General features: G+C 36.0%; 1 long non-coding RNA gene across 4 annotated transcripts in view; it reads left to right on the forward strand.

The window, feature by feature from the left end:
- The window catches only part of LOC105370467 (uncharacterized), a 186,853-nt gene that overhangs the window by 134,012 nt on the left and 28,213 nt on the right, over positions 1-24,628 (forward strand). For all 4 annotated transcript variants that reach the window (XR_007064132.1, XR_007064130.1, XR_007064131.1 and 1 more), the window contains one exon: positions 21,711-21,818. This is a non-coding gene — a long non-coding RNA (uncharacterized LOC105370467). The remainder of the gene's footprint in view (positions 1-21,710; positions 21,819-24,628) is intronic.

A 24,628-nucleotide genomic window follows, 5' to 3' on the forward strand; every position in this document is an offset into this window, starting at 1 on the left:
AAAAGATTATGACTCACTGAAGGCTCAAATGATTGTTAGCTTTTTGTAGCAATAAAGTATTTTTAAACTAACTTATGTAAATATTTAGGTATAATGCTATTGTACACTTACTAGATGACAATATAGTATAAATATAACTTTTAAATGCACTGGGAAACAAACAAAAAATCTTGAGACTTGCTTTATGACAGTATTGGATTTATTACAGTGGTTTGGAACTGAACCTGCAATTCTATATATATATATATATGTATACACACACACACACACACACACACACACATATACGTGAATTATGCATGTGTGTATATATAACCTATATATATGAATATGTATATATATATGCATGTGTGTATATATATATATACACACACACACATTAGTCAGCAGCTATCAACAATGAAGAAAGTCGCTCCAGCAGCTATAGGATTATGACTCCCTGAAGGCTCAAATGATTGTTAGAATTTTTTTAGCAATAAAGTGTGCATTTTATATATGTACATACACATAAGAAATATATATAAAAATCCAAATATATGTGGTTCTTTATATTGTATATGAATGCACAAGTGTACAATATATAAATTTTATATATATGGATGTGTGTGTATATATATACACACATCTATATACATAGATGATATGTATAAAATGTGTATATATACACAGTATATATATATATATAAAGTGTATATATATACACTATCTAATCAGTTGCCAACATGTCTAGGATAAAAGCAGGCAGAGGAACATAAAAGGACTAGACTGGCCTGAGTCTTTCAGCCTTCATCTTTCTTCTGTGCTGGATGCTTCCTGTCCTTGAACATCAGACTCCAAGTTCTTAAGCTTTTGAACTCTTGGACTTACACCAGTGGTTTGCCAGGGGCTCTCAGACCTTCGATCACAGACTGAAAGCTGCACTGTTGGCTTCCCTACTTTTGGAGTTTTGGGACTCGGATTAGCTTCCTTGCTCCTCAGCTTGCAGATGGCCTATTGTGGGACTTCACCTTGTGATTACGTGATTAAATACTCCTTAGTAATCTCCCCTCTAACTATACATCTATCCTATTAGTTCCGTCCCTCTAGAGAACCCTAATTAATACAGTATGCTAAAGGTAAAACAAAGCTTAGTCTCAAAAGACAAAGCAAACATCAGAATTGGAATTACCAGACAGGCGATTCAAAATTACTATGACTAATATGTAAATGCCTCTTTTGGAAAAGCTAACAACATGGAAGAACAAAGGAGTTATATAAACAGAAAGGTTGAAATGCTAAGAAAGTATCAAAAGGAAATGCTAGAAATAATAATAAAAAAAGCAACAGAAATGAAAAGTGTCATTAATGCAATCACTGATAGACTAGGCATGGCCAAGGAAACAACCAGTGAGCTGCAAGATCCCTCAATAGAAACTTTCCTAACTAAAACAAAATGATAAACAAAAATGGAAGGTACCACAATATTCAAGAATTGAGAGACAATTTCCAAAGGTATAAAATATATGTGATCAAAAAATAAGAGGGAAAAAGAGGAAATGGAGTATATTCTATATTTCATGTCAAAATATTTCAAAAACAAGAATGTTTTTGGAGAATGTTCCAAAATTAATGAGAAGCACCAAACCACAGACTAGGGAGTTCAGAGAACATCAAGCAGGATAAATATCAACTGGAAAATAATCCTCATTTAGGCTTATCCTATTCAAACTGCAGAAAACCGAATAAAAAAAAGAAATATTGAAAGAAACCAAAGGAAAAGAAGATCTTATCTATAAAAGAACATGGATAAGAATTACACTGGTCTTCTTGTTAGAAGCCATGAAAGCTACAGGAAAGGGACATGAGATATTAATAGTTATGAAATAAAACAGACAAAAAAACTTAGAACTTTCTATCCAAAAAAAAACTGTCTTTCAAAAGTACCCATCAGGCAAACAAAGACTGAGAAATTCATTCCATTTCCAGGAGATGCAGAAAATGTCAAAATATGTTATTTGGGAAAAATAACTTTTTCTCTTTTTTTTCAATTTACTTTGCGTTACTTGAACAGTTTATATAATTCCATTTTTTCTCCTATCTTAGCATCTCAATTATGCTTCTTTTTTAAACTGGAGTTTCTAGAGTTTGCAAAGTTCAGGAAGACCATTGAAAAAATGAAAAGTATGAATGAAGAAAACGTGCAAAGAAGAAAACAATTAAAAACATGGTAGATATTAATGCAACTATATCAATAATCACTTTAATTGGCAACACTCTAAATAGACCAATTAATGAAAAAATGCTCACCATCACTGGCTATCAGAGAAATGCAAATCAAAACCACAATGAGATACCATCTCACACCAGTTAGAATGGCAATCATTAAAAAGTCAGGAAACAACAGCTGCTGGAGAGGATGTGGAGAAATAGGAACACTTTTACACTGTTGGTGGGACTGTAAACTAGTTCAACCATTGTGGAAGTCAGTGTGGCGATTCCTCAGGGATCTAGAACTAGAAATACCATTTGACCCAGCCATCTCATTACTGGGTATATACCCAAAGGACTATAAATCATGCTGCTATAAAGACACATGCACACGTATGTTTATTGTGGCACTATTCACAATAACAAAGACTTGGAACCAACCCAAATGTCCAACAATGATAGACTGGATTAAGAAAATGTGGCACATATACACCATGGAATACTATGCAGCCATAAAAAATGATGAGTTCATGTCCTTTGTAGGAACATGGATGAAATTGGAAATCATCATTCTCAGTAAACTATCGCAAGGACAAAAAAACAAACATTGCATATTCTCACTCATAGGTGGGAATTGAACAATGAGAACACATGGACACAGGAAGGGGAACATCACACTCTGGGGACTGTTGTGGGGTAGGGGGAGGGGGGAGGGATAGCTTTAGCAGATATACCTAATGCTAAATGACGAGTTAATGGGTGCAGCACACCAGCATGGCACATGTATACATGTGTAACTAACCTTCACATTGTGCACATGTACCCTAAAACTTAAAGTATAATAATAATAAAATTAAAAAAAAAAGACAGAGATTGTCAGCATAGTTTAAAAAAATCTCCACTACCTCACTATAGGTTGTGGGGAGTTTACAACCTGACTTTAAATATAAAGACAAAGATAGATTAAAAACAAAGGGATAAAGACATATCATGCTAACTTTTTTTTTAAAGGCTCTCAATATAGTAAAACAAAAAATTTGCAGGGAAAAATTAAGCAAAACTCAAGCAGTATAAAATAACCACATCTAAAGCTTTTCTCAAATTACAACTTTCTTACAAGGCCTGTATTAGGGTGTTCTTGTGTTGCTATAAAAGAAATACCTGAGGCTGGGAAATCATACAGAAAAGTGGTTTATTCATTCATGCTTCTGCATGCTTTACAAGAAGCATGGTGCTGGCATTTGCTTAGCTTCTTGGTAAGCCTTAAGAAGCTTACAGTCATAGTGGAAGATGAAATGGGAGTGAGTGTGTCACATGGCAAGAGCAAGAAAGGTGGGGAGGTGTCACACACTTTGAAGCAACCAGATCTTGTGAAAACACATTCACTATTGCAGAGACAGCACGAAGTCATGAGAGATTCACCCCCATGACTCAGTCACCCACCATCAGGCCCCACATCCAATATTGGGGATTACATTTCAACATGAGATTTGGGAAGGACAACTATCCAAACTATATCAAGGCCTTAATAAATTGTTTCTTTTAAATAAGTGGAATACAAAATAATATACAGTTGATCTTTGCACAGTACAGGTTTAAAATGCATGGGTCTATTTATACGCAGATTTTGCTTAATAAATACATTGAAATATTTTTTGAAAATTTGCAACAAATTAAACAAACTCTCATATAAACCATGTTAACCTAGAAATAATTTTTAAATTCAGAAAAATTTAAGTGTGTTATGAATACATAAAACACACAGAAATATTAGTCTCTTTTTATTTCCTACCATAAAATATATACAAATAAATTATGAAAAGCTAAAATTTTTCAAAATTTATACGTGCGCTTATAAAACATACCACACCTTTCCCAGGCACCATTCACATTTGAGAAAAATGTAAATAAATGTAACGATGCAGTATTAAGTCATAATTACATAAAATTAATTGTAGTACATATCATACTGCTGTAATAGTATTATAGCCACCTCTTATTGCTATTGTGGTTCACTCAAGTGTTGCAAGAATCAACTTAAAATGTCATTATTTTCTCTGTGTGAGCAACCTGTCCAGTAAACTGCATATTTCAATAAACATGATCTCTTAAAGTTCTTATTTTTTTTTTAATCATGTTTAGTACAATACTGTAAACCTTGAGTAACACTCTGGGACCCATGCAAAGTGCCACAGTGATGCTTGAAGTGACACCGAGAAGCAGAGAAAAGTCAAGATATTACAAGAAAAAGTTGAATTGCTTGGTATATACTGTAGATTGAGATCTGCAGCTATGGTTGCCCACCATTTCAAGATGAATGAATGTAGCATAGGGACCATTGTAAAAAAAAAAAATTCCTGAAACTGTTGTTGCATCTATGCCAGCAGGAGTGGAAACCTTGTACTTTTTGCAAAGTATATTTGTATCTTATATTGAACATGTGGCTTATATGTGAGTGCAGGATTGCTATAATAAAGACATACCTATAGACTTTAATATAATTTGAGAAAAAATGAAGTCATTATATGATAACTTAAAGCAAAAGGAAGGTGAAGGATCTAAACCTGGGGGAAATTATTGCCAGCAAAGGATGGCTTGATAACTTTATAAAGAGGTTTGGGAGTTTGGTTCAAGGCCACAGTGACTTATAACTCTGCCACTGTACGCTAGCCTCAATGGCAGAGCAAGATCCCATCTTTAAAACAAATTGGCTTAAAACGTGTCCAAATAATAAGAGAAGCAGCTTCTGCCAACCAGGGACAGCAAAAGAATTTCCAGACATCATTAAGAAAATCACTGAGGAGTCAGAGTATCTACCTGAGCGAATTTTAATGCCAATGAAAGTGCCCTATACTGTTAAAAAATGCCACAAAGGACATTTATTTGTTAGAAAATAAGTGAGCACCAGAATTTAAAGCAGAAAGAGATAGGCTGCCTCTACTGCTCTATGCAAACGCATTTGGGTTTATACTCAGGACTACCCTTATCTATAAACCTGATAACTCGTTGGCCTTAAAGAGAAAAGGTTCCAGGCATGGTGGCTCATACCTGTAATTCCAGCACATTGGGAGGCTAAAGTGGGCGAATCACTTGAGTCCAGGAGTTGGAGACCAGCCTAGGAAACATGACAAAACCCCATCTCTACTAAAAATACAAAAATGAGCCAGACATGGTGGCACACACTTGTAGTCTTAGTTACTCAGGAGACTGATGTGGGAGGATCACCTGAGTCTTGAGAGGTGAAGGAGGCTCCAGTGAGCCACGACTGCAGCACTGCACTCCAGCCTGGGCAACAGGCAACAGAGTGAGAGCCTGTCTCAAAGAAAGAAAGAGAGAAAAAATAAATACCAGCTTCCCAGCTGCTAGTTTTTTTGGTTGCGCAACAAGAAGATTTGGACAATAAGAACCTTTTACTGGATTAGTTCTATCAGTGCTTTGTTCCCAAAGTCAGAAAGGACTTGGCCAGTAAAGCACAGTCTTTAAAAGTTATTTTGATATGAGACAACACACTTGGCCACTCAGAATCCTGCAAGTTCAACACTGAAGGTGTCAAAATGGTCTACTTGCTCCCAAGCAAATGTCTCTAATTAAGCCACTAGATCGGGGGTCATGAAGATGAGTAAGGCTCATTATGCACAGTACTCTATGGAAGGAACTATCAATGCTATGGAAGAGAACTCTAATAGAGAAAAACATCATGAAAATATGAATGAATTACACAATTGAAGGTGCCATCATTTAAAAGGCAATGAAAGCTGTCAGGCCTGAAACAGTAAATTTCTGATGGAGAAAACTGGGTTCAGATCAGGATGTATGACAGAGACAATCAAGGGAATCAGAAAGAAATTGCATATATGGCCACAACAGTGGGGGAAGAAGGGTTTCAAGTTATGAATCTTGGAGAAATTCAAGAGTTAATAGACACCACATCTGAGGAATTAACCAACTGTGACTTGATGGAGATGAGTGCTTCCAAGCCAGTGCCAGAAAATGACGAAGAAGACCTCCCAAGAAGCAGTGCCAGAAAACAAATTGACATTCGACAATCTGACAGAATTGTTCCAATATTCAAGACTGCTTTTGACTTCTTTTACAAGATCGACTCTTCTATAATATGGGCACTGAAACTAAAGCAAATGGTAGAAGAAGGATTGGTACCATATATGCATATATTCAGAAAAATGAAAAATAAAAAATGTCAGACAGAAATTATGATGTAATTTATGTAAAATTATACCAAATGTGCCTGCCTCTCCTGCTTTCCCTTCCAACTCCTCCACTTCTGCCTTTGCCACCCTTGAGACTGAAAGACCAGCCCCTCCTCCTCCTTCTTCTCAGCCTACTCAAAATGAAGATAATGATGATAAAGACATTTATGATGATCCACTTACATTTAATCAATAGTAAATATATTTTCTCTTCCTTACAATTTTCTTTCTTTTTTTTTGAGATGGAGTCTCGCTCTGTCGCCCAGGCTGCAGTGCAGTGGCGCAATCTCAGCTCACTGCAAGGTCCACCTCCCGGGTTCACACCATTCTCCTGCCTCAGCCTCCCGAGTAGCTGGGACCACAGGTGCCCACCACCACGCCCGGCTAATTTTTTTTTGTATTTTTAGTAGAGATGGTGTTTCACCGTGTTAGCCAGGATGGTCTCGATCTCCTGACCTCGTGATCCGTCCACCTCAGCCTCCCAAAGTGCTGGGATTACAGGCGTGAGCCACCGTGCCCGGCCACAATTTTCTTAATACCATTTTCTTTCTCTAGCTTATTTTATTGTAAGAAAACAGTATATAATATACATAATACATATATAACTTACAAAATATATGTTAACCAACATTTTATGTTATTGGTAAGGGTTCTAGTCAATAGTAGAATATTAGTAGTTATGTTTTTGGGGGAGTCAAAAGTTACACAAGAATTTTCAAATGCATGGGAGGTTGGTGCTTCTAACTCCTAAGTTGCTCAGGGTCAGCTATATTTAAAAACTGCTATGTGACTATGTCCCGTATTTGCTTACCTCATAATTATTTGGCTGTAATGGATTACTAATTTCTTATAAATTTTTACAAAGTGTGAATATTTACAGATTATAAAGTAAGCATTCAAATTTATAAACTGTCACACAAATTAATGCTTTCCTAATCACCAATATTTAAAATGTATCCAAATGAATGATGTGATGGCAAATTGTGTCACAGCTTAACAATAATATGAAGCATGGTTTATAAAATAATTTATTTTATGTATGTATATAACAACCAGTAAGACATTCTACTTATTGCTGTTTTCAGGCACATGGGCTCCTGATTATTACCCTAAAGTCACCAGAAATAATTTTCTATTTTATAATTTGTAATTCATTTGTAAAATGCTAATATAGTCTATTGGGTTTGCCACTGTTGCCAAGTTTATTCAAAAGAGTTATCAAATTATAATTAAGTGAATAGAAATCTTCTTGGCCTATGTAAATATTATATTTAGTTCATAAATATGTAATGCTATTAATTCATGTGGAGTCCTTGGCAGTTTTGAAATAAGTATTGCTGTCTCTGATGACCATCTTATACATAAAATATTTAATTTCCCAAGAATGAAGTTTGAAAAGAAACTCGAAGTTTATTTAAATAGAACTTTCTGTAAATGTAAATACTAGGAAAGTACTAGAAATTATGAGGTATCACATGGATGAAAATTGCCATTTGTTTGATGAGTTACTCAAAATAGCATTGTCTTGTTTACCACCATATTTGGTGAGAAGTGTCTGCCACAGCTGCTTCTTCTATGAAATGACTACAATCCTTTCCAGTTAGAAATACCCATATAATAAGGCAAGTTGTACCCAATTCTCTATCAGAGCCATGTCTTTTCATTAATTTATAAAACTTCTCTTCACAACGAGAGTTGATTTGTTATAATTTAGCAACACAGAATACACATTTTTCATCTTTGAAGTAAGACTACATAAAATAAGGCCTCATATATGTCTTCTCTTATCTTGATTTTTATTAAATTAGGCTAAAATATTATAATTTTTTATTTGTCTTTTACTTTCTATATTTTCCAAAAGGATTTTTTTTAATTAACAAATTAACTTCAGGAAAAATTTTTAAATAAAGTGTTCTATTTTTTGTTTATTCTCTCTGTTCAGATCATAAAAGCTAGCTACATATTTTCTCCCACAGTGGATCACTGAGGATTTCATTATAAAATTTAATCACTTTAAATATTGTTAAAGCCATTTTCCTTTCAGTAAACCTGATCATTCATGCTTCTTCATCTATTTTTACCCAACCTTCCAATTAACACAACAAAGTAATCCAATGCTTTCAAATATGAAATATATCCTTCTTAAAATTTGGCTATAACTATAAAGTGAAGAAGGGGTGAACAAATGAATATGATAAATGCACTCATATAATAGAGGTAAAAGTTATTTGTTAGAGATTAAAGATTAATTTTTCTGTAGGAAACATATTCTGGTATTTCAGATTAAGCAAATCTATCCAGGAATCTTCTGGCATTCAGTACTGTACCTATAAATTATTCATTCACTTGCAGGTTTCATTTATGTCAAATCTTGTTAGAACAGTTAATTTTACATGAAAGTTATTCTCAGAGGAAGCTTTTAACAATTGGACATTAGCATTTTTGAGTAAGTCAGCATTTTTACCGTAACAAGAATTTTGTCTTATTCTGAGTAATACCATCTGTATAATTTAATAATTGCACAATTTAGCATAGATCTAAAAATGTCATTTCCTTAGATTATATATTAAAATTATGTGCATAGTAGGATAGTCACTTGAGTAAAGAACAGGATATTATCAAACACATATAATCTCTCTCTTATATTAGGGAGTTAACAAAAATAAGATGTATCCTTAATTAAGCTACTGCTTTGTAATAAAAAATGTTAACTTAACCTTAGAAAGTAAAAATTCTGTCTTCCAAACACACAGGTAAATACCATGAATTGTTAAAAATATAGTCATTTGACTATACTGACATTTTAATAGATAATTGTATCTGGATTAGTAAAAGCATTTATCATGTAAGATTACTTTGACATTACATTTAGATATGTGGCCACTGGAAAAATAAATATTCTCTTATTTCAACAATAGTTTATATGTAGCACTTAATACATTCATGTATCTAACAATTTCCTTTGGTTTCTTATAAAAAAGATGATGAGACTGCTGGCTGAGTGAATACTCAGGATTGTTAGCAAATGGCACTCTGAGTCTGGCTTCTATCTTCTTCATTCCTTACTACAAATATCTGCCTCTCCTTAAATGCTTATTCAATATGAGATAAGAATTTAGTCTTGACCAAGGTGGTCTCTACATTTCCCTCAGCTTGACTAAACTTTAGACAGGCTTCTTCCGTCCTCTAGACACCTGGTATCTCTAACCAAGGCTCTTACAGAATCAAGAAAATCTAACTACAGAGGTTGCTTCCCTCCCTTTCTGTAGAGCATTTACTTTAATTGAACATTCTTTCTCTGTCATCTTAAGATGTAAACCTATCTAAAAGTTTCTTATCAGTTTTACAACCCAGTGCTGCTTTCACAAGCACCTAGGAGCCATCCCTTTGAAGTGTAATCATCTACAAAGAGAGAAGAAGCCCTGTCTGTCTTCCAGTCTTTGTGGAAGAGTAGGAGGCTAACTTAAATAGGCACCTTACTCAAAGAAGTAAAATGACCTTCTGTAAAGAAGACATAAGGAATTTTAATTTTCCTTTGGGTAAATCCAAATAGCAAAAAGATGACCTACCATGGCTCACTCTAGCACTTAAATACTCTGCCCTTTGTTTCAATGAAATTCAGTTCAAATTTGTGTTCTTTTCTCTCTCCTTTGTTGCAAAAGTCTTAAAGTATTCTTTACATTTTTAACTTTGTCTGGTGCAATTTCTGCTTTGACAGTCACAAATAACTGTCTTTGATCCCCTTGGAAGCACACTTAACGGAAATAGCTGATTGGGTATGCTGAATCTTTGTTGTCACTGAATGTTGGAGAATACAGTGACTAGAGAAAATGAAGTTTACTACGAAGGCTTCAGCAAGAGACTGGAGGACTTTCCACTCTAGACAGGTGGCTCACAGTAGGGAAGACTAATCTATTTTCTCTACTTACAGGACTGCAGACATCAATGAAGATTCATCATAAAGACCTGAGTCCTGATGTATAAGTGAATACATGAATAATTAAACAAACAAAAGCTTTCTCGCAGGGCCCTGAAAAACAATAGAGAAAGATAATACAAGAAAATGTTGTACAAAATCTATAAAGTAGAGCTGCTATAAGAAGGCAGCTGACTACATGATTTCTCAAGAAAAAAACAGAATGAATAAATTGATGTTACATTTAAGGATCTAGCATTCAATGCTTTATTGCAGTTAATGATCTGAAATAGTGGAGTAGAATACTAACTGAAAGAATTTTGCTGAAATAAAAAGAAAATCTAGAAAAAGAAGACAAACATGAAGGAAATCTTAGGAATCTAATAGGAAAATATGGGAAACCTAACAAGTGTATAAGTGATGTAAATAAAAATAATATGTGAAAAATGAATTAATCGAAAAAATATTTTTGGCCCGGCACAGTGGCTCACGCCTGTCATCTCAGCACTTTGAGAGGCTGAGGCGGGGGGATCATGAGGTCAAGAGATCGTGACCATCCTGGCCAACACGGGGAAACCCCGTCTCTAGTAAAAATACAAAAATTACTTGGGCATGGGGGCGTGCGCCTATAGTCCCAGCTACTCAGGAGGCTGAGTCAGGAGAATCGCTTGAACTCGGGAGGCGGAGGTTGTAGTGAGTCAAAATTGTACCACTGCAATTTGGCCTGGTGACAGAGAGAGACTCTGTCTCAAAAAAAAAAAAAAAAAGTATATATATATACACACACGTATATATACATATATATATGTATATATACGTGTGTGTATATATATATACACATATATGTGGGTATATATATGTGTATATATAAATATTTATATTTTTATATTACTGAAAGAGATATAAAATGTCACATGCTTTTGATATGACAATATGGTACTCAATAATATGTATATATGTATATTTATCTAAAGGATTATATATATACATATAAAGAAGAATTAATATATACATACACATATAAAGAAGGATTTATATATGTGTGTGTGTATATATATTTATCTAAAGAAGGATTCATTCCTAAGTTTGAAAGTTTCATGTAGTTTTTGAAAATAAAAATAATTCCAAGGATAAAGAGAGAATATCACATTTTCTAAGTAAAAGAATAAGTTAAAAAGAAGGTAAAAGATATTAGATATCACTCCCTAATGTATTGAAACCCTTGAAGCCTGAAGACTTTTGAATATTATCTACATACTATTGTGACAGAAATTTGAGGAGAGGAACATAATAATACTATACCTGGTAAAGACATATTTTCATGGTTAGTGTGGAAAATAGATATTTTTGATTAGGCAAGACTGTGGAGAGTATATCCTAGGTTTACCAAAAGGAAATGTTCATGAAACAGTCACTGTCAACAAGAAGATATAGGAAATGAACCAAAAATACTTCAAAGTGAAAAAGATAAAAAGGGAGAAAAATAGTGTTAAATTGTAAAACTTTTTATATTACTGAAAAAAATGTAAAATGTCACATCCTTTTGATATGTCAATATGGTACTCAATAATTAAGTCTGAGTTTTTTCCTTTTAATATCAAGAACAAGGCAAGGATATCTTTTTTCACCACTGGATGACTACAGTTTTTGTTTGAACTAGGGCTTGCTTCATTCACAAGGAAGACATTGGTGTTCCAGGAATACATACAACCAAGGAACACTATAGCAAGCTTTCTTACTCATGTTACTGACATAGGTAATCAGAAACAAAGAGAAAGAGAAGGGAACCTATAATTTCTTTTCTTATAACTCCTGCCTTACTCAACAGTAAACCAAAGCCAGAGAGAACTAGTAGAATACATACACATCAGAAAGTAAAAAGAGTTGAGTTAGTTGGGTCAGTATTTCTGCTGTTCTGGTATGAAATGTACACAGATGCATGCGTGAGTTATGCAGTATAAATTTATTCTAGAATAATTTTAATAATTTGACACATGGGATATATGATCTTATGTTTGCATTTGAAATTAGTGTTGCACAAAATAGAGGTAAGGAGTAATACTCATGTTAACAATTTAGCATTTTAATTGTTCTTTACTTAGAACAACATTATAGAGCAAACATAAATGACATTGGCAAATTGAAAGAGAAAATACAGTGGAAGGAATAAAGCTTTATATTTTGGTACAGTTAAATACACTTGGTTTCTGCTTTTATTTATATATATATATTTTATTATACTTTAAGTACTAGGGTACACGTGCACAACGTGCAGGTTTTTACATATGTATACATGTGCCATGTTGGTGTGCTGCACCCATTAACTCGTCATTTACGTTAGGCGTATCTCCTAATGCTATCTCTCCCCCTCCCCCCACCCCAGAACAGTCCCCAGTGTGTGATGTTCCCCTTCCTGTGTCCAAGTGTTCTCATTGTTCAATTCCCACCTATGAGTGAGAACATGCCGTGTTTGGTTTTTTGTCCTTGCGATAGTTTGCTGAGAATGATGGTTTCCAGCTTCATCCATGTTCCTACAAAGGACATGAACTCATCATTTTTTATGGCTGCATAGTATTCCATGGTGTATATGTGCCACATTTTCTTAATCCAGTCTATCATTGTTGGACATTTGGGTTGGTTCCAAGTCTTTGCTATTGTGAGTAGTGCCGCAATAAACATACGTGTGCATGTGTCTTTATAGTAGCATGATTTACATTCCTTTGGGTATATACGCAATAATGGGATGGCTGGGTGGTTTCTGCTTTTTGAACGTAGATCACCTAACAAATTATGTAGCTGGCCCTGACCACATACAGACTCAAGGGAAACCAAATCTGCATCTGAAATACAGATTGTAACTCCACTATGTTTAACAGAATGCTGTATGTGTAGTCTATATGATTGTGCTTAATTTCCTGTCCTATGGAAAATGTTCCTACCTGACTTTAACTTTCCTAAAGTGAACTAAAATGTGAAGGTTTCTTCTCAAATTTCAACCTCCCAGTGAATTAGATTGTTTTGAACAATATATATTTAGAATTACCAATGACAGTAAGTAAAATTCCTATAATGGATCACATAAAAAATCCCCCTGTAATAGCTGGTATGTTATCATTCCCATTATTACCTTATATTACATAGCACAGTGAATGTAAATATTGGGAGTTTATGTAGGTATATTTAATTTAATCAACAGCACATCAGACTAATTTTTGTACTTTTTTGTAGAGATGGAATTTTGCCGTGTTGCCCAGGCTGGTCTCCAACTCCTGGGCTCAAGCGATCTGCTCACATCAGCCTCCCAATGTGTTGGGATTATAGGCTGAGCCACTGCTCCCAGCCATGGATACCATTAATAACACAGAGTTTTCTCTAGCTGGTAACAGTAGAAGAAATCACAAAATTCAGAGAGAAAAAGTAGATGCACCCATCCTAATTTAAAAGAAGGAGAAGAGCAGGGGAGAAAAAATTGAGAGGCCCCTGGAAGCTGAGAGCAGCCCTTTGCTGATGAGGGCCATGAAATAAGGATTTTCAATCCATAAAAGCAGATAATTGGATTCTTCCAGTAAAATGAATGAGCTTAGAATCAGATTTTTTTAAAGCCTCCAGATGAGAATTTAGCCCGACTAAAACCTTGAATTTGGCATTGAGAGACCCTTCACAGAAAAGCCAAACCTCTGATCTATGGAAATAATAACCAATGCGTGCATTAGAAAATAATAATCAGGTGTGTTTTTAGGTCGATAAGTTTCTGGCAATTTGTTATGCAGCAAAGAAAACTAATACATTGATAATCATTCTTACTTGCAGAAAAAGCAATGTCACATGGCTTAATCAAGTAGATTTGTGAGTTATTCCTAAAATATGAAAATTGAGCAAGATAATAAAGTATTTTGGGTATTCTCTCAAGATACTGTTTATGCTTTCACTGCATTGGACTACTATGTTGCTCTTTTGACAGACTGTATGCATAGCCTGACTCTTACCTACTAATTAAAATTATTTCTAGATTTTCTTGTGTCTTAGTCCAGTTTGTTTTGCTGTAATAGAATAGCATAGGCTGGGTTATTTATAGTGAGCATAAATTTATTTGGCTCACAGTTCTGAAGGCTGGGAAGCCCAAGACTGGGGCTGCATCTGTCCAGGGATTTCTTGATGAGTCATCCCCTGGCAGAAGGTGGAATTGGGAAGGGCAAGACAGGGAAACAGAGAGAGAAAAACCAAACAGGAGCCAAGTTTGATCTTTTATAAGGAAGCTACTTAAGTAATAATGCCCCCACTTTTGTGGTAATGACATTAACCCATTCATGAGGGTGGAGCCCCTCATGGCCCAACCACCTCTTAAAGGTTTCAACTCTTATTACTGTTGCAATGGCAATTAAATTTCGACATGAGTTTGAGAAGGGAAAAACAATTCAAACCAGAGCATCATGTGCCAGACTTTTAACAATTTTAAAAAATATTAGATGTCAGGCTGGGTGCGGTGGCTCACGCCTGTAATCCCAGCACTTTGGGAGGCCGAGGCAGGCGGATCACGAGGCCAGGAGATGGAGACCATCCTGGCTAACACGGTGAAACCCTGTCTCTACTAAAAATACAAAAAAAATACCCGGGCCTGGTGGCAGGCGCCTGTAGTCTCAGCTACTTAGGAGGCTGAGGCAGGAGAATGATGTGAACCCGGGAGGCAGAGCTTGCAGTGAGCCGAGATCACGCCACTGCACTCCAGCCTGGGCAACAGAGCAAGACTCCATCTCAAAAAAATAAAAAATTAGATGGCAATAGTATTGCAGAATTTTTTTGATAATTTAAGAAAAAATTCTATAAGCAGTCAGGTAGGTACATTGTCGGTAATGTTTTTGCACAGCCTACTAATGCAACATGAGTCTTGTCTAGAAAAATAGAATAAAGCTGCTCATTTAAAACGAGATAGGAATGATGAAAGAGATATAAAAAGGTAAAGCTTCTTTTCTTTATTCAGTTTATTTATTACTTTCATCAGGATAGTCACTAAAACTATCTTTTGAGACTTACTAAAGGTAAAACTGAACATATGCTTTATAATGGTAGGTGGTTTTAACTGGGTGAAAGACAAAGGAAAACCTGTTCTATTATTGAAAGGACTGAGTCCCATAGGTCCAGTATCCCAAGAAATATTTATTTAGTAGCTCTTCCAAATTTATGCTTCATTGATTGGATACTCACTGTAAAATTATGTTTTTATGTATTAATATGTGCTCTGATAACTGCTATTTATATGTTTAATAATGTTTATTATCCTGTTGTTTCTGTAAGTGTAAACAAAATGAGTGGACAGAAATGTACAATGAAACAGGTGGTGAAAATAATGTTGATACAATGAAAGACTTTATATCCACAAGAACTAGACTTTTGAAGACAGAAAAATAAGACTACTATTTCTTATAGAAAATATTTGATTTAAAAATAAACAATAAAAATAAGGCACTTACACCAACTTTTTAACTTTGTCATTCTTTCTCAGCAATATGGCTGAATTATCAATATCAAATGTCATTCTGTTTTGCAGAAGGTATAGATGGAGACAACCCCTTTGAAATAAATAAGTTTCTTTTGTTTCTGTGGTAGCATGAGTTGATTATGTATTCTGCCTTTCAATGCTGTGGGGAATGTTTGATTGTCCAGTAAGTACAACATCTTTTGTGTCCAAAATGTAATTTTTGAATAAAGCTCACAAAAATTGTGCTTCTCCATAGCTGACAAGAAAGGAGACAGACTATTAAGTGTAGACTCTTTTCCCAAGTGGATTTCAATAAAATTTAATTTAATCATGCCCTGTAGGTTTGCTCATTTATCTTGATGATCAGTATATTTGACACTTCTATTCTGGAATATCTTTTATGGTTCACTATATCTTAAAGCTTCACTCCAATTGGTAGGTAATCTATTTTGCCAAGGCAATGGATTATAAATAAAACAAATTGTGCTATATATACTTTGAAATAGTCTGAGTCTGGTTTCAGGACAAAGCAAAATAATTACATTCCTAAAGCCATAAAATATATATTTTAGATGCTCCCAATCACTATTGTTAATATAGTTTTTAGGTATTTAGTCATAGACATTTAATAAAATTCTAGGGCCAACATTAATGAGAAGAATCAAAAATAAATAAATAAAACAAGAGGAAATTGATTTTGTGGAGAGCATGGACACATTTGTTGTCCATAGGGAACTAACAATAACTTCCAGTGACATCAGTTCAAGAAAAAAAAATAGCAGCAGGGAGTGAGAATGTCATCTGTCAACCCCGAAAATGATTTTGGTTAAAATAATGACAACAACAACAAAACTAAATATCAAATAGCGTCAAAAATGATATCACATATTCCATTTCTTCATCAGAAATAAAAAGAAAATATTTTTCTTACCTGAGCAATTTATTGATGAGAGGGCAGAGTAAGTTAAAAAATTGTTGCTATACATTTTTCATTAAGTTTTTAGATAAGACAAATGCACAAACAATTGTTGAATATCTAGCATCAAAAGAAGAAAACAGAGAACAGAAGTATAACATTTTATTTTCTTAATTTCCTATTTTAAAAGATTTCAGTTACCTTTATAGTATTAAAATGAGAATATATTAAATGCCATTGAATGGTGCATTTTTAAATGGTTAATGTAATGGTTAATATTAGGTATCAATTTGATTGGATTGGAGGATGCCTAGATAGCTGGTAAAGTATTGTTTCTGGGTGTGTCTGTGAGGGTGTTTCCAGAAGAGATTGACATTTGAGTCAGTGGACTGGGAGAGGAAGTCCCACCCTCAATGTGAGTAGGCACCATCTGATCTGCTGCCACAGGGCCAGAACAAGGCAGACAGAAGGAGGTGAGATAAGCTGGCTTGTTGAACCTTCTGGTTTTCTTCTTTCTCCAGTGCTGGATGCTTCCTTCCACTCCTCCCCTTGAACCTAAGATTCCAGGTTCTTCAGCCACTGGGCCCTTGGGCTTACACCAGTGGTTTGCCAGGGGCTTTTGGGGATTCAGCCACAGAATGAACTTCCCTGCTTTTGAGGCTTTTGGACTCTGATTGAGCCACTACCGGCTTCTTTCTCCCCCAGCTTGCAGACTACCTATCCTGGGACTTCACCTTGTGATCCTGTGAGCCAATTCTCTCTAATAAACTCCCTTTCACATATGTATATATCCTATTAGTTATTTCCCTCTGGAGAACCCTGAACTAATACAGTTAAAATGGTGAATTTTATGTCATTTGTATTTTGACACAATACCAGAAAGTTAATTCACATACTCTGGATGAAAACACATTTTTCCCCAAGTTCAATAAGAAGCAACTTGTACAATTATAATTACAGGGCTATCTAAGGATCTAGGGCTGCACTAAGACGTTTCTGCCACTAGCAATATGTGGATATTAATCACTTAATATGTGGCTACTGCCACTAAGCAACTGAATTTTAAATTTTATTTTAATAAATTTGATTTCAATTAAATTTAAATTTACAACATAAAGTAATTTTTATGGCACATAATTTTTATTAAACCACATACTATTGTTCTGGTAAGATCTCATTTTACTTTAACTTGCATTATGTGATATTGCTATACTGTGGTGTACCTGTTAGATGCATACTTTATTTACAGTAATAAACAGAAAAAGGATATTTAACCATTTTGTGCCTATTGATTGATTTAATTTGTATAATATTTTCTATATGCTGATGTAAAATTGGCATGTGATGATTTTAATATTTTATTCAGATGGCATGAATTACACTGATACCTATGAAAATTATCAATGATAATTAAATTGAAATAATCATAATTAATTACATTGTAACAATTACTTTTATACTTAATTAAAATTTATGTGTGAACATATTCATAAATTAAAACAAAGACATACTGCCAATGTTTAACTGAGCATAAATACAGAAGCTAGTATAAAGACTAGAACTTGCAAGTAAAATAAAACCTGAAAAAAGATACATCAAAAACTTTATAAAAAGGCTATAGCAATGTGCTGTGACAGTACCCAACACAAAGGCTGTTGTGTAAAATGTTTTGAGATAATTATGTGTAGAACATTAGGACATATTTAATGCATTTCATAAGAAATTTCCTCCCAAAGTCAAACAAGCATTGATAAAATTAGTGAGCAAAAATTGGAAATAAATGGTTAATTAAAATGTTTGAATAATTTTAAAAGAATCTAAAATTGTAAATTAGATTAGCTACAATCTAATCATGGATTGTAATAATGGATTCCTGAATATAATAATGGATTCCTGAAGAGAAAAAGAAAAACAGTTTTAGATGAAGATACAGTAAGATTAATTATGAAAACTTTGTTTAAAAAATTATGAATAAGAGTAATAAAAATATTTTACAAAATGTAAACAATTTTAATTTGAGCATGAAACATTTGTCTGTAGAACAGAAACCTTTCTAAAAATATTCAGTACAAACTAAGCCAAAATCCAAAGATTACTGTTTTCTGTAGCTTTAGATGAGTTTTATATTATGTTCTCCAATAATACTTTGTGTATCTTTGTTTGTATTACTTTAATCAACCATGTAAATAATCAAATTCATGTCATGAATATTTTGGAATTATTTATATCTATCAATGAAGAATTTTAGTGAGATACGAGGACATTAGCTTTTATTTATTTATTTTTTCTAACTTTAGGTTCAGGGGTACATGTGCAGCTTTGTTACACAGATAAACTTGTTTTATGAGGGTTTGTTGTACAGATTATTTCATGACCCAGGTGTTAAGTTTAGTATTCACTAGTTATTTTTCCTGATCCTCTCCCTCCTCCCACTCTCCACTTTCCAATAGGCCCTAGTGTGTGTTGTTCCCCTCTATGCATCTATGTGTTCGCATGATTTAGCTGCCACTTATAAGTGAGAACGTGTGGTATTTGGTTTTCTGTTCCTGTGTTAGTTTGCTAAGTATAAAGGCTTCTAGCTCTATCCATGTCCCTGGAAAAGACATGACCTCATTTTTTATGGTTGGATGGTATTCCATGGTATATATGTACCACATTTTCTTTGCCCAGTCTATTACTTATGGGCATTTAGGTTGATTCCATGTCTTTGCTACTGTGAACAGTGTTGCAATGAACATAGGCATACATGTGTCTTCATAATGATTTACATTCCTTTGGGTAAATACCCAGTAATGGGATTGCTGGGTCAAATGGTATTTCTGTGTTTAGGTCTTTGAAGTATCACCACATACTCTTCCATATAATTATGGATAGTTCCATATAATGATAGTTAGTGGCATTAGGTCAAAAATCAGGGCTATTTGTAGTTTTAAAGTGAGAGAAAAGTAATTTCTTTATTGATGTGTTCTACTGTATAATGCATAATACAATATTTGTGATGCTATAAAAATTATGCAGTTTAAAATGTGTCTCAAATTTATAAACAAATGCTGTAAATTATTACCAATTTATGTCATTATTGATAGCAAAAGAAGACAATGACAATACTTTTTTGGCTTCTTTGTCAAAGCTCATTGGTTGAATTTTGTAAGAGTTTTATAAAGATTATTGTTACAGCTAATTTTAAATTTTCTTTTAATAAATTTTAGGAGATAGATATGAGGTGCACAACTTTATGAATGTAAGTAACGCCAGAGAATTGAATGGTTAAATGCTAAATTTTATGTTACATATATTTTACCATGGTAAAAAATTTTAAATACTCAAAATTCTCAAATAGTCAATAATCAAAGGTTGATTTTTATCATAAAATTAGTAGTTTTTGATAAATTATCAATACCAATAAAATATGGCACCGTGATTTATGTTTCTCACTGAGCTATGGCTGTATAGGAATAAAATAGATTTAAAATTCTAAGCAAAGGAAAATGTATTTGTATCCTATCCAAACAAGTACAAAAATGCATGTTGAAACCAAAACCTTTATAATAAAATTTGATAATAAGAAATAAATATGCTGAGATTTTGAAAGAAAATTTGTAGACACTTGAAAGATATCATTAATATTAATAATTACAAAGAAGGTTGCAGTTATTTCTGTCAGATGACAGTATGTTATTGATACAATGATTTTATGGAGGGTTGAAGTTTGAAGGGATGCCCTCTTTGTCTTTACTCCAAGGATTTATATATCACTATTATTCTAAGACACTATCTTTCTCATAATATCATGAACTGTCTTTGTGTTTGATACTTTCTGCATGTTGATAAATTTTGTTTTGGCCTCTTATAAATACCAATATAAAAACATTTTTATTTATTGAAATTTTGGATATATAGTATAATTCCAAATTATTTTGTTTTTTTCTAAGTACTTTTCATTATGTATTTATTTATTATTTAGATTCAGAGGGTACATGTGCAGGTTTGTTACATTATGTGATGCTGAGGTTTGGGCTTCAATTGAACCTATCATCCAAATAATGAACATAATGATGGCAGTGGCTGCAGCAAGGAGGTGTGACTGGGGCTGCACACTACTTGGAGCTGGTGGGAACCCCACCTTCCTTGGGGGTCTATAGCCACCCAAACTGTGGTTGTGGGTCCGAGCCTCCTTGTGCTTTTAGGGGATCCAGGAACAGGGAGGATCTGCCCTCTGGGTGCAGCTGCAGTGAGACCTGGGCCTCCCACTCCACAAAGCAGGAAGAAGCTGGGGACAAGCGGGAGCCCTGCGTCGTCTGAGTTGGTGGGATCGGAGCTCCTAGGTGCAGCTGTGGGTGCCCTCCCAGGTGCAGGACCTGCGCATCTCTGCCGCCTTCATGCTTGGATGCCCCATGAAGGACCCCCTCATCTGTGTAGGCCCAGGGGTGTCTGCTCCAACTGCCTGCTCTGCTCCTGGCACCCACTCCTATCTCTTAGTGGGGTTGGGGCCAAGCCCTGGGCCCATGAATGTAAGCAGGAGGTGAACAGAGTCCTATGCAGAAGGGGGCAGGGTTCCCAATAAGCCCCCACCCTCAGGCCAGAGAGGGCCTGAAGGCTGGGGGCTGGGCTGCAAGTCCTGTGGACTGGAGTGAGAACTCATGGTGCCTCTTCCACGCCCGCGCATGGCTGCCCATGGACCAATGGGTACACACTTTCCCCCATCTGAGGTCGATAAAAGCCCTGGGCTCAGCAAGAGCAGGGCAGAGGATGGCCACAGGACAAAGAGGAGCTACCTCTGCTGAGAGCTTCAGAGACCTGCAGAGATGTCCAAATGACTTGCCTGCAGAGAGGAGTCACCCTCTCCAAGGCCTCTTCTCTGCTGAGAGTTGAACACTCCATAGGAGGACCTGCCCAGAGAGTAGCTACCCACTGTGGGTCTCTGAGCTGTTCTAACACTAAATAAAACTCTTCATATTTTTCACTCTTCATTTGTCTGTCTTTGTACCTCATTTTTCCTGGATGCAGGATGAGAACTCAGCACAGGCACTGCAGCCACGGAGGTTTCCAGATAGAAAAATTGACACCCCTGAGATCCCATAACATTTTGGGGACTCATCTGGGATCTGCGGAAGGGTGAGTAAAAGCAGCTCTGCTTTCTGTCTTTTCTTTAGGAGTCCCTGAACTCCACAATAGTCAAGATGAAGGAAAAATACTGGGCCTCTGTCAGCCAGTAAAAGCGACTACTGTGGCCGGACTTAAGACACAGGACAGGCTTGCTGGGGAGAACACTGTCAATCCTCCATCACCCTCAGGTGTTGGAAATATTGGCTTTGTTCTAACCCAGTTTCCCTTCACAAAGGGAAGCTGTCACTTGGGACCAGAAGGAGGTCTTGGGGCAACCAAAGGTATCTGGCTGAGGCCACACCTTTTTGTTATGCAAAGGCCGCTGGACTAACTTCAGTCCCCAACTGCCTGTTGGGTGTTGGCACTAGGATCTTTAGTCTTTCCTGTCGTTGTTTCCTTCACAACTGTCATGGTTCCTATCTCTTTTACATACAATGTTAAATGTTAAGGGTGTTGTTGCAAACCAGAGATATTACGGTGTAGAATGAGCATTTGGCTTAGTCATCGAAAATATGAAATGGAAGGTCAAGAGTAGCACAGATGAAGCAAAGTGTGCTTTGGTATCTGCAGTAAATTTGTAAGAAAATGTTCTTGTCATTTCCAGTTTAGTGCGAAGCACCTTGAGGCACAAAAAAGCACTACCTCAGGAAGGAAGCTTTTCTGTAAACACGAAGGAAAATGGTCCAAGGTCCCTTATGAGCAGGCCTTCTTTGCCTTGCAGGGTAACCCAGACCTTCGCCAACATTGTCTGATTGATTCAATGTCGTTGTACCCACCTCAGGAGAGTCTTCAAGGGGCAATCCCAGGGAACTGAGGAAGAAAACTCCAAAGTTACATCCAGCAGGGAATCAACCCATTCTGGTCCTTCCTATCCAGGTTATTTCTCAGCTTACCCCACCTTAAGAATCCTGGTTTTAGACAGGTTCCCCTCTCAGCTGCCCCTATAACAGGTGCCTGGTGAACACGGCCCCATTAAGGTCCAGGTCCCATTTTCTCTTCAGGACTTAAGTGAAATTAAGGGGTATTTTGACTGGTTTTCAGATGGCCCTGATGAATATAAAAAGGCTTTCCAGAGCTCAACCCAAGTGTTTGAACTCTTTGTATCAAACCCTGACCAACACTGAAAAACAGGCCACTCCTGGCAAGTGGCAGAGCTTTACATCTTGTATAGGGCCAGGGAAGGGGAGGAGCCTTATCCAATTGGAAAAATAGGCAGTACTATTGGAGGACTCTAAAAGGGGCCCCAATAATGAAAAGGGACAATGAAAGAAGTAACTCTTTCAGGTGTGCATATTGGAGGGCTTGTGAAGGACTGGGACTGGACCTCTCAATTGCACTGGGCTATCCATGGTGGATCATGGACTGGATGGGAGTCCCACTGCCTTCCTGAAACAGCTAAGAGGAGTCTTGGTAAAACACACCCCTCTATCTCCTGATTCAATAGAGTGACAGCTGGTCCTAGGAGATGAGTTTATTACTCAGGCAGCCCCTGATATTAGGAGGAAGCTGAAGTGGCAGAAACAGGTCATAGGACCAGATAGTGCTTTGAAGGACCTCCTGAAAGTGGCCACCATAGTCTTTTACAATAAGGATCAGAAAGCCCAAGAGAGGAAAAGGAGCTCTAACTGATTGACTTAAAGAAAAAGGCTCTAATAGTCACCTTACAGGCTCACAAACCCCAGAGTTCCTAAGATGCACCTGTTGACTGCTGCAAACGTGGGCCATTGGAGGGCGGACTGTTCCCAAGACACAAGTTGGTGGGTCTAGGGCCGGTCTCCCTAATGGTGCAGCAGGACTGATGGGTCCTGTGTTTCCTTTCCCTGGCTTTGGTGATTCAGACTGCCATCACCATCTAGGAGCCCCAGGGATCAAGGGAAGGAGGATGGACCTCCTCCTGAAATTAAGTAGATCTGGACCTCTGTCTGTTTCTCTGTGTAGATATATATGTGTCATGTGTGTCATGTTTCTATACAAGAGCTCTGATTGGCTTAAAGAAAATAAGTGCTTAGATCAAATGTTTTGAAAGAAAAATAAAGCTGTAATGCCTTTTAATTCATGGTTATCACTCTAGTGGAACAGGAAGCATGGGAAAGCATGGACTTATAAAGCTCATAGTAGGCCATTGCCTCTGAAGGGAAAACATGAAGTGGCACTGGTGTCCACCTAAGGTCAGAGATGTCTGACAGTCCAAGATTGAATACCAAAGGGTGATGTGCTGGGGGATCCTATGGACCTCAACCTCTCTAAAGGGGATTCTGTGGCAGAGGTTCTGGGGTCTAGTACTAAACCCTCCTTAGAAATTTCACAGTTGCAATACTGTATGGCCCCAATATTGTATGGAATCTGAAGTTTACTGTTGAATGGCAAAGTGGAATGGCATTGAATGTATCCAGGCTTTTATGCTGCTGTTCTAAACACGGAGCCTGGTTAACATGTGATGTTCTCTTTGGTGCTGTTTGGCCCTACTGTTCTTTGGAGTCTGGGAAGGTGGGGCCTTAAATCAAATTGCCATGATTTAAAGCAATCTGTGAACCCAAAATTTTGGTTCACAATCTTTATTGGATTATCTACTGGGGCAAACAAAGTAAAACCGGTGAGCTTGTATTGCTATCTCATGGCTTAGGATTCCAAGCTATTGAATCTTTGTGTGTGTGTGTATACATGTCCAGATGTGTTTATTTGTACACTTATTGTTATATGTTGTGTCTATCAAATTGGCTTATAAGTAAAGGGACACTCATAAATTAAGAAGTAATTGTCAGCATATGTTTTTGACTGAATTTATATTTGTCTACCATTATAACATGTAATAGAGACTA

Source organism: Homo sapiens, chromosome 14 (genome assembly GCF_000001405.40).
Source record: "Homo sapiens chromosome 14, GRCh38.p14 Primary Assembly".
NCBI classification, from domain to species: domain Eukaryota; kingdom Metazoa; phylum Chordata; class Mammalia; order Primates; family Hominidae; genus Homo; species Homo sapiens.